We start from the raw sequence: 14,879 nt of genomic DNA on the forward strand, positions 1-14,879 counted from the left end.
ACCATAAGTTGTCAGCTAAACAAGCCAAAGAATAGCTCCATGTCTAAGCTGCTGTTTATCCTTGTTCAGCTGACATTAAATGGCAGGTCCTAGGGAAGGTTATGAGGTCTGCATTGTTCCCCTTGGAACTGCCCAGCTCACCCCACCTTCACATGTTTTTCCCTGTTACTGCCTTTTCTTCAAGTCTGAATAAAACCCTTCAGCTCTTTGTACTTTCTCCAAGATACCAAAAAAAAAAAAATTTCAAATTAGAGTAAAATTTAGTTTCTACATCTTACTTCTTTCAGATCCTGACCTTTTTAAATAGATTCTAATTGGAACAAAAAAACCTTTGTGTCCCTTTTGAAGAAATTTCAGAAATCACGTGATCAAAGAATAAGCAGTTGACTTGCAAATTCGCAGCTGCTGGTTGGTAAGGGGCTTCTGTAGTTTGAAAAAAGGTATTCTAAAAATTACCATTGTTTTTGTCATAGTATTTATTTTGATATTCCAAATAATACTAAAAAAGAGTATGACCGTTTAAAAATATAAATATATTAAGAGTGTAAGTTTTAAAAAATTAGATAAACATTGCTCTAGTTTTTTGTGAAACATAAAACTGTATCTCTGTTTTTCTGTGCCTTCTTATTAAAATACAGATGGCACAGCTTTCATATAGCTTTAACAACTTGATTATAAATTGCTTTCAAAAGTAACTTATTTGGATTTTCCATATCCTTTAATGAATTGCAAATATATTAACAGAAAAGACTTTCCCCCTCAACACTGTACAATTTCTGAAATAAGTCAGTTAAAGCAAAAAGAAGACACAAAATTACATTGTTTCAATGCAAACAGAACACACACTTCATACCCACACTTGCATTTTCCCAGGTTTTCACAAAGAAAATGGGTCACCATATTTCTCAGTGAAGACTCATACTATACTCTGGCTAATCAGAGACTTCCAAACTTTTTTCTTCAAAAAGAGCATTTTTAATAGACTAAATACTGGTTATCACTGAGTTTTTGTTTAAGGTACAACAGCAGCATGGTTCAAATGTTACTTGTAGTTCTCGGAAAAATTAAAAATTTTAAGTGATGAATACAGAAAATGTAGGGACCACCTTTCATTCTTTTGAGTACCACTGTTCTCTTGAAAAAATATTCTAACCTTCTAAAATCCCAGAGTTAAGAACCATTTCCAAGGGGAAAAACAAATCCAAGGCCACAACATAACTTCTGAACAAGTGTGTGCGCGTATATATATATGTATATAGATGTATTAAGTTGGTGCAAAAGTAATTGCAGGTTTTGCCATAAAAGTCATGGCAAAAACCACAATTACTTATGCACCAACCTAATATATGTGTGAAACAGAGAAAAGGATGTCAAACTACTTAATTTAATTTCTGTAAAATAAACTTCTGAAATTTGAAGCAAACATTTTGCTTGATCAAAATGTGTTCTTCTTCGGGTTGTTTGATCCCCATTCCATGCAAAAAACAAAACCAAACAAAAAAAGAAACTGCAAAAGCCAGAAAGTGTTACTACGTGGGAAATAAGGCTTCAAATACCTAAATGACTTTGAAAGTAGGTATGAGGAAAAATAAAATAGGCCAAGCTTGGGCGGAAACTGTCCCCCAACCAGCCATTGCCATGGCATGTCTTACAAAACGATCCTTTTATCCTTGGTCTCAAAAAATCAGTACCAGAAAGACTCTCACCTCTGGCACATAAATTCCTGCTACAAAAAGATAATTATACTTCAGCAAGTTATGTTCTAAGCTTAGCTTTCTCCAGGCTTTATAACGCAGAACTCAGGTTGAAGCTTTCTATAAAACTCTAAATGACACTGTTATACAGCACCTTGTGCTTTGCCAATTAAAAAAATAAAAGAATCTAAAATTAAATATTACAGAACTAATGGATAATACAATAGCATACGTGTTAGAATCCAAGTGCTAGCCTCTGGGAATTTTTCATTATATTTATTTTCTCCCAACTGTTCCTTTTTTTTAAAAAAGTATTGTTTTAGACAGTACATATACATAAATTTAGGTAGGGAAATCTGTTAAATATCTCTCTGGCACCTGATACCTAAAGACCCTGACTTGAATTAATTTATAAATTGTACCTAATCCATGTTCAAATGAGATTAACAGTAAATTATAGAAAATTACTGAGTCTACAGACTAAAATTTTTTTCACATCTTTTGTAATCCACCTTATTTTCACAGCTTGACTAACAAATACAGGTAAGTTTGTCCTCCATCAAATAATCCAGAATAATAACTGTAGGCCTGTCATTCATAAGAAACTATAATTTGTTATATTCTGACACTGGCACTTAATAAAATGTTAACAACTAAAATTTCTCTAAAAATTTCAATACATTACAGTAAAGGAGATAAACAATTTAAGACTGTTTAAATCTGTTACTGTGGAATTCCAATAATTATCATTTTATATGCATAATTGAATTCTTAAAATTGTGGCCATTTTCCAAAGACACCAATCTATATTATGACAAACTCAGAAGAGAACCTATCTCCTTCATAAGAATGTTTTTTCCCCCAAGCTAAAAATTTCCAACATCCTAAACCCAATTACTCTTAGTAAATGTTTTGGTGACTCACACTACTGAAAAAATCTGAAGCAGAGAGTCAAAAAGAATGGAAAGGATCTCAACCAAAGGTAACCACACATTCTTACACTCTGCTTAAGCAAACACTTAGAAAAGTCAAAGGGATGTTTTGAACAAATATAGATTCAAGGTTATGGTACAATTCTGATTATATTAAGGCTTTCACTATCATGATCTCTTAAAAGTCTCTCCACTTTAGTGTTCTCCTTCTGATTCATATGGTGAACTTAAGGGGTTATTAAGGGCCTTGTTTTGGCTTCTCAGTGGGGAACCACTCTATCATCTCTGAATGTTAAAGGTGATCCCACAGAGCTCAAAGAGAAGAGGCAATATGGTAAGAAACAATTTTAAAGTTTGCAATACCAAGACAACAATGATCAACACTTTGAAGCAAGATGAATAAATTAAAATTCTTGGTTAGACATTAAAGCATTCTTGCCAAGAATAAGAGTACACTGTATGGAGGGATATTTGATTCCTACATACGAGTCCCAATATGCCCATTACATTTGTTTATGGGAGATACTGCAAGTTTAAGGTAATTTACATTCCTTGGCAATCAAGTCACTGTTATAGGCAACGTCTTTTATTGTTCCATCTGGCACTTGCAAACACCATTCTTGAAGAACCTAGAAATGAAGGTCAGTTACTCTGTTTATCAGGAACAGAACCAAATAAAAACAAATTTTTGAAAAAGCAACCAAGAAACTCTGGTTCATCACTATTTTCCATATCTAATGGTTCCTTCAAGATAAAGCATAACTCTTCCTTTCATGATACTTTCCAACAAAGGGAGATTAAAGAAAAACAGAAAAGAAAGTTCCCCACCCTACCCCCCATAAATTGTCATTCATACTGGTAAAAGAGCCAGTCTTGTTAGCAGCTAAATATTGCACTGCCTTTCATTCTGTATACAGTCAGGGTCCAATGAAAGTGGCACACTCATGGTATAAGTGACGGACGATGACACCGCCAGCTCAAGAGTAAAGACTCAGTATACAGAGGGACAAGAAACACGTCAGCACTAGTCACACATCCAGTTGTAAAAGTCTGATTTCCAGAAGTTAAAATTCATCACTTTCAGCTGCATGAAGTTGTGTGTCATCCGCATCTGTCATGCTGCTCTCCTGGGATTCATCTGTTCCCACTTTAAAAATAAAACAGAAGTCCACAGTAAGTTTTCTGACAAATATGTCCTGTTGGTTCATGAAAACAAGTAAGAAAAATTGTATTATATTCAGAGAGATAAAACCCTAAATAAAGGCCCTTAAAAATCCTCATATCCTTTAATAAAATGCAACTCAAGTTTCCTAACTTTATAATAGGTCTGATATTAGCTTACTGCATTTTACCTTTAAGTTTTAACTACCAAAACTGCCTCTTCCTAATGAGTTCCTTATTCCTGCCCTAGGAATTACAACTAGCTAGTTCTCTGAGACATTAAAAAAAAAAAATTGACATTTCCCCCAACCTCCAATCACTGACTCCACTTTAAGAATACTCCCTGCTAGTCCACAGAAACACAGACTATAACCTTCAGTTTCAAAAGGTTTATGGGGTCAGTCTATCAGTCAATCAATCAATCAATCATCTATCTTGCTCTGTCACCTAGGCTGGAGTGCAGTGGCACAATCATAGCTCACTGCAGCCTCAAACTCCTGGGCTCAAGTGGTATGATTCTCCTGCCTCAGCCTCCCAAGTAGCTGGGACTATAGACACGTACCACCACAGCCAGCTACTTTTAAAAATTTGTTTAGAGACAGGGTCTCACTGGCTAGTCGTGAAATCCTAGGCTCAAGCAATCCTCCCACCTCAGCCTCCTGAGTAGCTGCGATTACATACGCAAGCCATCATGCCTGGCATATATATACTTTTTTTTTTTTTTTGAGACAGAGTTTCATTCTTGTCATCCAGGTTGGAGTGCAATGGCGTGATTTCGGCTCACTGCAACTTCAGCCTCCTGGGTTCAAGCAATTCTCCTGTCTCAGCCTCCCGAGTAGCTAGGATTACAGGCGCCCGCAACCACGCCCAGCTAATTTTTGTATTTTTAGTAGAGACGAGGTTTCACCATGTTGGTCAGCTGGTGTCATCTCCTGACCTCAGGTGATCCACCCACCTCCACCTCCCAAAGTGTTGGAATTACAGGCCTGAGCCACTGCGACTGGCCCCATGGCTTATAATTTTAATTAAAGCCTTTCACCAAGTTTTCTGGAACAAAGGCATCTAATCAGAATTTATCTTGTCAGAAATTTCTCCATTCTGTTATTTAAAAAACTACATTTTTATGAAGCAGATAAAACAGTACTGGTTACATATTCAAACATAAATTGAGGTCCAGGTAAAACTTAGCAATGAATTTGTCAAAGTCACACAGCAAACTAGATCCAGAACAGAGACTCATTATCTGACTTTATATGCATTTTGTTATTACATCACCCTGTTCAATTTCCCTAAAAGTCCATTTGGTATAATGAAAACACCATGGTTAGAAAAATAAAATAAAAGAGTAGCCTACAAATCCTTATGCAAAAGGTAACTTTCTAAATACTCAAAATCATATGTATGATACTTACTGATCTGTTCTTCTTGGGTTATTGGCTCCTCATCATCTGGAAGATAACGCTTATCAATTGCCTCTTTAATCTGGTTATTGGCTCCTTTAGGATCTAAATCCATAGCCCAAGAGAAATTCATCAGGGCGAGGTGCGTTTGACCTAACTTCTTGTAAACCTAAAAATAAACAGCAGCACTACATTTTTCATTAAGTTGTGAGCTTCAACTATAAAATTCTAACTATATATATACTTATTTATTTATTTTTGAGATGGAGTCTCACTCTATTACCCAGGCTAGAGTGCAATGGCACGATCTTGGCTCACTGCAACCTCCACCTCCCAGGTTCAAGCGATTCTCCTGCTTCAGTCTCCTGAGTAGCTCGGACTACAGGTGCCCACCACCACCCCTGGCTAATTTTTGTATTTTTAGTAGAGACAGGGTTTTGCCATGTTAGCTAGGCTACTCTCAAACTCCTGACTCAGATGATCCACCTGCCTCCCAAAGTGCTGGGATTACAGGTGTGAGCCACCGCGCCCAGCCTCTACAATTCTAAATATTTATAATTTAAATTAGGCTCCTGATTTATGTGCTCTAAACTCATTCTAAGGGTAGGACATTTTCTTCCTACAGATGAACTCATACCAGCTTTTGAGTTCCTTTTAATATAATCAGACATTATTTTCAGAATTCCTTGCTTCTATCTTTCAGGTAGTAAGTTTCCAATAAATATCACTCTGACTGGAGCAATGATAATGGGATTAAATGGATTATAAACTGCTTAATTAACTTTCATTTACAGTGATTTTAAATTGAGTTATATCAACTCTTTACAACTGTCCACAGTCACCTTAACTAATTGGCATATGGAGGTCTAGTCTGTAAAAAACTGACTAGTCTGGCCTTGGGACTCTCAGAAGCCATTTCTCTTAATCAAGACAACACAGTGCCATTCATGTTCTTCTACTTTTTTTTCTACTTTTTTTTTTTTTTTTTTTTCTTTCTGAGACAGAATCTTGTTCTCTTGCCCAGGCTGGAGTGCAGTGGGGTGATCTTGGCTCATGGCAACCTCTGCCTCCCAGGTTCAAGTGATTCTCGTGCCTCAGCCTCTGGAGTAGCTGGGATTACAGGCATGTGTCACCATGCCCAGCTAATTTTTTGTATTTTTAGTAGAGGTCAGGTTTCACCATGTTGGTCAGGCTGGTCTTAAACTCCTGACCTCACGTAATCTACCTGCCTAGGCCTCCCAAAGTGCTGGGATTACAGGCGTGAGGCACCATGCCTGGCTAGGATATCATTTTCTTAAGTGTTAGAACTAAATCTGTTATTCCCAGAGCACTCAGTTCGGAGCTTTAGTTTAATTTGCTCAATAGATATGTACAGGAAGTATTACATTTATTCTTATAAAATGTCATTATTTGCTATGAAAGTCACTGTTTGGGACCATGACCCCAGTCTTTACCTTTCCTATTAAGAAGTAAACGAGGGATTCTTTGGGAACAATTTGTTTCAATTCTTCAAGTTCTTGTAAAGCAGACTGAAAAAGGCAAAGAAAAACCTTAAAGTAGCAAAAATTTTTAAAGTTTTGACCAAGCGTTTTTACTTATTTGATTTCCCAAATCATCTTCACAAAAGCTAACTAAATCTTAATCAATATACTTCCTTATTGTATTAGTTCTTATTGCTGTGAAAATAAAATGCATACTTATATGACAATAGGTACTAAGAAATGGCAGGCACTCTAGTACACTGAAAACACACACACACACACACACACACACACACACCCCTCTTCGTGAAATATGCAGGTGGTAACAATCCTTGCTTTTGGTCATCTATCTATCTATCTATCTATCTATCTATTCATTTTTATTTATTGAGGTGGAGTCTCGCTCTGTCGCCCAGGCTGGAGTGCAGTGGCGCCATCTCTGCTCTCTGCAATCTCCGCTTCTCAGATTCAAGCAATTCTCCTGCCTCAGCCTCCCGCGTAACTGGGATTACAGGCATGCGCCACCACACCCAGCTAATTTTTGTATTTTTAGTAGAGACGGGGTTTCACCATGTCAGCCAGGCTGGTCTTGAACTCCTGACCTCAAGTAATCTGCCCGCCTCAGCCTACCAAAGTGCTGGGATTACAGGCGTGAGCCACCATGCCCGGCCCAGTGATTTATTTTTTAACGAAAAATAACTATATAATTTTTCAGAACAACAAAAAGTTATTGAGAAGAGTGGCATTAACATTTTTGCAAGTCTCTGTTAGTAGAAGACAGCTAGATTCTCACATCTATCTGCTTCTCCATTTAATCTGTTTCAATATCACATATTATGTAGCTTTTGGAAAATTCTACTGTCCATTTGGACAGAATGAGAGTGAAAAAGGTAAATAACGTCAAGATATTATTGTAAAAATAGCTTTGACCTCTAGGACTCCTTGGAAGGATTTTAGGGACCCCCAGAAATTCCCAGACCACTCTGAGAATTATTACTTTAAAGACATCTTTTTTTCTTTTTTGAGATGGACTCTCATTCTGTCACCCAGGCTGGAGTGCAGTGGTGCGATCTCTGCTCACTGCAACCTCTGCCTCCTGGGTTCAAGTGATTCTCCTGCCTCAGCCTCTCGAGTAGCTGGGATTACAGGGGCTTACCTGTAATGCCTAATTTTGTTTTGTATTTTTAGTAGAGATGGGGTTTCACTAAAGTTGCCCAGGCTGGTCTTGAACTCCTGACCTCAGGTGATCCACCTGCCTTGGCCTCCCAAAGTGCTAGGATTACAGTTGTGAGCCACTGCACCCGGCCTTACTTTAAAGAAATCTTTTTTTTTTTTTTTTTTTTTTTTTTTTTGAGATGGCGTTTCACTCTATCACCCAGGCTGGAGTGTGGTGTCGTGATCTTGGCTCGCTACAACCTCTCCCTCCCAGTGTCAAGTGATTCTCCTGCCTCAGCCTCCTGAGCAGCTGGAATTACAGGCGTGTGCCACCATGCCTGGCTAATTTTTGTATTTTTAGTAGACACGCGGTTTCACCATATTGGCCAGCTGGTCTCGAACTTCTGACCTCAAGTGATCCTCTCACCTTGGCCTCCCAAAGTGCTGGGATTACAGGCGTGAGCCATCATGCCTAGCCTTTAAAGAAATCTTTTTTTTTTTCCCTGAGATGGAGTTTTGCTCTGTCGTCCAGCCTGAAATGCAGTGGCTCACTGCAACTCCCACCTCCCAGGTTGAAGCGATTCTCCTGCTTCAGCCTCCCAAGTAGCTGTGATTACAGGCGCCCGCCACCATGCCTGGCTAATTTTTGTATTTTTAGTAGAGATGGGGTTTCACCATGTTGGCCAGGCTGGTCTTGAACTCCTGACCTCGTGATCCACCCGCCTCAGCCTCCCAAAGTGCTGGGATTACAGGCGTGAGCTGCTGCGCCTGGCCTTTAAAGAAATCTTAATCTCTAAGATGACACACTCCAATCCTCCTTCACTGCTACAACACACACAATTCAGAATTGATATGTTTTCTTTCTATGATTGCATATTATAATTGTTATCAACATTTCATGCAACCAGCATGCCTATCCCCACCCCCAGCGATCTAATTACAAGGACTCATTGAGAAATAGTGTCTCACATAGCATCAGAGCTCTTACTTTTACCTTAAAGACTTAAGATTTAAATAATTAAATATCAGTACAGCACATTAAATAAGGTGATGGCTAGCAATGTTTTAGAGATGTTGAAATGGCCCCCTTGATTTTCATTTTGGAGCCAGAAAATCTCAGAAGCAATCATTAACTTTTCTTTCTTTTTTTCAAGTGACCAGGGAATGACACAGCCCCAGGAGATCCTGAGAACATGTACCTTTTAACTTTTCCTTATGCCCTTTTCATACAGTCACATTTCTATATCTAATCCATGCAGCAAATTAGGCCTCATAATTCAGCGAAGCCCCAAGCTCATACCCAAAAATGGCTATAACTGGGAGTTTTTCTGAGTCTACTGTGGCTCAGGGGGCTGCCTGATATAATAATGATAATGATAATAACAACAAAAGAGGGAGTCTCTCTGGTCCTACTTTGGATTGGAAGGCTGCCTAATTAAACAATCAAAGAAAACCCCACAAAAATGGCTATCACTATATATATCATAGTCCAGACAACTGATGAGATTAGAACTTGGGTTTCTTGAAGCAAGTAAACGCTGATTTATGTGGCCTATCTGGTAGGTATGTTGGTATTAAAATGGCTTTAAGAATAATGAATAAAGTCCTTCATATCTAAAGAGGTACATAAAGCAAATACATAAAAACAAATACTGATTTGCAATTATAGTACTTCAAAGAGTAGTTAAAAGTTGAAACGGGCTTATTAGATTTAAAATAAGCTTTATGAAAAAAATTTTTTTTTGAGACAGAGTCTCCCTCTGTTGCCCAAGCTGGAATGCAGAGGTGTGATCTGGGCTCACAGCAACCTCCGCCTCATGGGTTCAAGCGATTCTCATGCCTCAGCCACTTGAGTAGCTGGGATTACAGGAGTGCACCACCAGGCCCAGCTAATTTTTGTATTTTCAGTAGAGACAGGGTTTCACCATGTTGGCCAGGCTGGTCTTGAACTCCTGGCCTCAAGTGATCTGGCTGCCTTGGCCTGTCAAAGTGCTGGGATTACAAGCATGGGCCACGGCACCTGGCCCTAAAAGAAGGTTTTTAAAGACTCCAGTTAGATAAAAAAATTAGCTGAGCATGGTGGCTTATGCCTGTAGTCCTGGGTACAAGGAATTCAGCCTAGGAATTTGAGGCTTCAGTGAGCTATGATTGCACCACTGCACTCCAGCTTGGGCAACAGAGCAAGAAAAACAAAAACTAAAGAAAGACAAGCTTTTTAAAAGGACAAAACCAGTAAAAATAGAAACCCGTGTCTTCATAAAGAAGATAGAATAAAACTAAAGGAATTACTAGATAAATTATATATTTAATCCCTTTGTATATCTTTATTAGCCTATTTTTACGTTTTTTTTTGAGATGGAGTTTCACTCTTGTTGCCCAGGCTGGAGCGCAGTGGTGTGATCTCAACTCACTGCAACCTCTGCCTTCCAGTTTCAAGCGATTCTCCTGCCTCAGCCTCCCAGGTAGCTGGGATTACAGGTGCCCACCACCATGCCCGGCTAATTTTTGTATTTTTAGTAGAGACGGGGTTTCACCAAGTTGGCCGGGCTGGCCTCAAACTCCTGACCTCGTGATCTGCCCGCCCCAGCCTCCCAAAGGGCTGGGATTACATACGTGAGCCACTGTGCCTGGCCCTATTTTTTTTTTGTTTTTTAAGACAGGGTCTAGCTTTGTGGCCCAGGCTGAAGTGCAGTGGCGCGAAAACAGCTCACTGCAACCTCCGCCTCCTGAGCTCAAGCCATCCTCTCATTTCAGCTTCCTGAGTAGCTGAGAGTACAGGCACACGTCACCACACCTGGCTAATTTTTGTATTTTTTTTGGTAGAGATGGGGTTTTGCCATGTTGCCCAGGCTGGTCTCAAGTTCCGTGGACTCATGTGATCTGCCTGCCTCTTCCTCCAAAGTGACGGGATTATAGGGATTTTTATTAGTATTAAAAAAAAGTTATCACTGGTTTGGTATATTTCTTTCTATTTTTCTTTTGTGAGACAGAGTGTTGCTGTTGCCCAGGCTGGAATGCAGTGGCGTAATCTTGGCTCACTGCAACCTCTGCCTCCTGGGTTCAAGTGATTCTCGTGCCTCAGCCTCCCAAGTAGCTGGGTCTACAGGTGCACACCACCATGCCTGGCTAATTTTTGTATTTTTGGTAGAGATGGGGTTTCACCCTGTTGGCCAGGCTGGTCTCGAACTTCTGACCTCAAGTGATTTGCCCACCTTGGCCTCCCGAAGAGCTGGGATTACAGGTGTGAGCCACTGCGCCCAGCCCTGAATTTATTTTAAAAGATTTTGCTTCATGGTTTCTGATTGAATAAATGATAACAAAAATCTCGTGTCTTTTTGCCTCTTATCTCTTTCTCAGTTTCCTTATCTTCTTTTTTCAATACTTGTTTCAGGCTAAGCATACATAATTTGAAAAAGAGTGAGAAGTAAAGAGAAAGACACATCAGACTAGAACTAGTCTCCGTGTTATAAGCTCTCATAACTTAATACACTTTCCCTTTATGTATTAAACATTTATTATATTTTGTGATTATTTGGTTAATGTCTGTTTTCCTAGAGAGTACTAGATAGTAGGCCCCTCAAAAGCAGGAAAGATGATTGCTTTACTTGCCACTATATTCCTGGTGCCTGACACATACTGGGTAATCAATAAAAGCTGAATAATGCACACACATTCGTTTTCTTTTTCTGTTTTTTAATTTTTAATTTTTTTTTTTTTTTTTGAGATGAAGTCTCGCTCTGTCGCCCAGGCTGGAGAGCAGTGGTGTGATCTTGGCTCACTGAAACCTCTGCCTCCTGGGTTCAAGTGATTCTCCTGCCTCAGCCTCCCCAGTAGCTGAGACTTACAGGCACCTGCCACCATGCCCAGCTAATTTTTTGTATTTTTAGTAGAGATGGGGTTTCACCATGTGGCCCGGCTGGTCTTGAACTCCTGACTCAGGTGATCCGCCCGCCTTGGTCTCCCAAAGTGCTGGGATTACAGGCGTAAGCCACTGCGCCTGGCCCATACATTCATTTTCATCTGTTCACTTATTTTGGTCCTAAGAGGATGGTTTAAGATAACTTTAAGATAACTACCTGATGAAAAAACTGCCTTTCTATATAAGACATCTTTACAAGGGATAACTATATATTCCTAAATATCCACACACCTATCCTTCCTATGAGTATTTCATGAAGACATAAAAATCACAAAAAATGAAATTAACAGCTTGGAAAAATGTCTCAGATCAAAATTAAATAAATAACTTTCAGTTTATTGAAAACAAGGGATAACGTTGTTTTTAAGCAATACAACACTGAAGACCCTTAAGATATTTATCTTACCTTATATTTTTCATTTGCAAATAAAACTGAGGCTCTGTGAAATTTGCATAGAGGGTTCTTGGGATCAATGACAATGGCTTTGTTTAGGGTATCCAAAGCCTTCTCTGATTTTTTCAGTGCATGTTGAACCTGTAAGAAATAAAGATCATGTTAATACTCCCTCTTGATATTTATGAAGAAAGGTGAGAACCAACGTGACTCAAAACCAACATAATCAAATTATTAGAGATAAGGTTGTAGGGTCTAACTGGATTGTCCACTGCATTAAGTGGATTTAGTAATTAATTACCAAATGATTAATAGATTATCTCTAAAATCACTTCTAATTCTAGTTCAACTGCTTCACTAAAGATGAGAATACTGAAGTCTAGAGATCTTAAATAATTTGCTCTGTGATAAAAATCTAGGTCCTCTGGTACATACCTATGATGATAATCAATAGTCTATCTTTAGAGCAGATATTTGGTTACCTTTAAGTCTAAAAGGCAAGCAAAACCTTGGTGTTCTATTCATAAAAAAGATCTGTACTATTTAGCCAGATAATATTCACATTTCATCAGGTTTATGCGGTCTTTCAAATATTAGACTTCTCAAAACTGTGTTAACACTCCTGTTTACAAACCTTGTTTCACTCAGAACAATTATATTTTCAATATTTTAGGAATTTATTTGAAAAATGATTTTACTGGCCAGGTGCGGTGACTCAGGCCTGTAATCTGAGCACGTTGGGAGGCCAAGGCAGGTGGATCACGAGGTCAGGAGATCGAGACCATCCTGGCTAACACGGTGAAACCCCATCTCTACTAAAAATACAAAAAATTAGCCGGGCGTGGTGTCACACGCCTGTAGTCCGAGCTACTTGGGAGGCTGAGGCAGGAGAATTGCTTGAACCTGGAGGCAGAGGTTGCAGTGAGCCAAGATCGCGCCACTGCACTCCAGCCTGGGCGACAGAGCGAGACTCCGTCTCAAAAAATAAAAATAAAAATAAAAAAAGAGAAAAAAAAGAAAAATGATTTTACTGTTTTACATAATTGAAAATCACTGATCTCTAATACTGGGAAGCAAATAACTTAAGATATTTTAAATAACTTAAAATTTAAAAGATTTAAAAAGTACCAAACCTCACTATTCATTCATATGTGTATACTAATATTCTGCTATGCTCCTCCTTGGACAAATTATATGTTATAAAGTGGGGTGGGCTGGGCCCGGTGGCTCACGCCTGTAATCCCAGCACTTTGGGAGGCCAACGTGGGTGGATCACCTGAGGTCAAGAGTTCGAGACCAGCCTGGCCAACATGATGAAACCCCCGTCTCTACTAAAAATACAAAAAATTAGCCAGGCGTGGTGTCGGGCACCTGTAATCCCAGCTACTCAGGAGGCTGAGGCAGGAGAATCACTTGAACCTGGGAGGTGGAGGTTGTGGTAAGCTGAGATTGTGCCACTGCACTCCAGCCTGGGCAACAAGAGCGAAACTCCATCTCAAAAAAAAAAAAAATTAAATTAAAAAAGTGGGGTGAATGAATGTATGAATGTGGCTGCAGAACTTTAACAAATATCATGGTCATAAGAATGTGAGAATAGGTAGTGCCAACGTCTGCTTGCTAAACTCATCTACGCAATGATCTAATGGTGGCCAAATATTCTGCCCACAGGACTGAGACCCTAAATACTAGTTCCCGAAAAGAGAAAAGCTTACTCTCTTACCTGACAATTTCTTCAAATAAACCACTCAAAAATTTAAAACAACCTGTTCTACAATAAGTTCAGAAGAATTCCTATTTTTAAAAAAGTGTTCAACTTCACCAAAAGGTGTCAAGAGATTTAATTTTGAATTGAATAAATAAGGTGATGACAACAAAAAATAATTTTAAGTAGACACATTATCTCTCCATTTTTTCCGTAGTAGCTAACTATAAAAGAAGTTACTGTCAACTTTTTTTTCTTGCCCTGTCTTACGGTGCTGGACTATGTCCATTTTTAAGAAAATTATCATGGTCAATGTCATTATAGTCAATAGAGAATTAGAATTCTACTCTCCCCAAGATAGTGACATTTCAAACTAACAATTTCCTCACATTGTATGACCATTCCCACAAAAGCTAAACTTGCTAGGGGGAAAAAAAGAGAGAAGCTGAGGGGAGGGAGAAGGGGAAAGGGATGAGAGGATGAGAACAAGAACTTAAGGTACCGTACTTACACAGAAGCTAATAAATGCGATTTTAAAAAGCAAACAAACATAATGTACATATCTTTTCTCCTGTTAAAGTAAAATTTATTTATTTTCTTTTAAGAGATGGAGTCTCATTCTGTTGCCCAGGCTGGAGTGCAGTATCACCTTCTTAGCTCACAGCAGCCTTGCACTCCTGGGCTCAAGTGATCCTTGTGCTTCAGCCTCCCAAGTAGCCAGGACCACAGGTGTGCACCACCATGCCAGGCTAATTTTTAAATTTTTTTTGTAGAGATGGGGTCTCGCTATGTTGCCCAGGCTGGTCTCCAACTCCTGACCTTAAGTGATTCACCTGCCTCGGCCTCCTAAAGCGCTGGCATTACAGGCATGAGCCACTGCAACTGGCCAGGAGATATCTTACTTGAGTCACAGAACAACCCTATGAGGTAAGCAAGTAGTACATGACATTCATAAAATAAAAGCTCAGAGCAATGAAGTGACTTGTGCAAGGGATAAGGGCAATTCTGTGATTTTTTATGCTAAGCCAAATGGGTAGTATT

At 39.0% G+C, this 14,879-nt stretch overlaps 1 protein-coding gene across 18 annotated transcripts in view, besides 1 other annotated feature; it reads right to left on the reverse strand.

Annotated features, from left to right (window-relative positions):
- Window positions 1-458: 458 nt before the first annotated feature.
- The window catches only part of CDC27 (cell division cycle 27), a 71,593-nt gene continuing 57,172 nt past the window's right edge, over window positions 459-14,879 (reverse strand). For 12 of the 18 annotated variants that reach the window (XM_017025485.3, NM_001353050.2, NM_001353051.2 and 9 more), the window contains 4 exons: window positions 12,149-12,277; window positions 6,642-6,716; window positions 5,200-5,356; window positions 459-3,773 (listed from right to left, as the gene is read on the reverse strand). In XM_017025485.3, the coding sequence (XP_016880974.1) occupies window positions 3,691-3,773; window positions 5,200-5,356; window positions 6,642-6,716; window positions 12,149-12,277 (444 nt within the window). In that variant the 3' untranslated portion in view covers window positions 459-3,690. Of the gene's footprint in view, window positions 3,774-5,199; window positions 5,376-6,641; window positions 6,717-12,148; window positions 12,278-14,879 lie in introns of those variants that run through there. The other 6 variants (NM_001353049.2, NM_001353047.2, NM_001353035.2 and 3 more) reach the window with 4 other exon arrangements.
- Window positions 2,556-3,166: an enhancer, noted in NCBI's record as "OCT4-NANOG hESC enhancer chr17:45197166-45197776 (GRCh37/hg19 assembly coordinates)". NCBI's record gives its function as "activates a minimal SCP1, AML or CMV promoter by ChIP-STARR-seq in primed H9 embryonic stem cells {active_cell/tissue: H9 hESC(primed)}" and the evidence as "EXISTENCE:reporter gene assay evidence [ECO:0000049][PMID:30033119]".

Source organism: Homo sapiens, chromosome 17 (assembly GCF_000001405.40).
Source record: "Homo sapiens chromosome 17, GRCh38.p14 Primary Assembly".
NCBI lineage: Eukaryota > Metazoa > Chordata > Mammalia > Primates > Hominidae > Homo > Homo sapiens.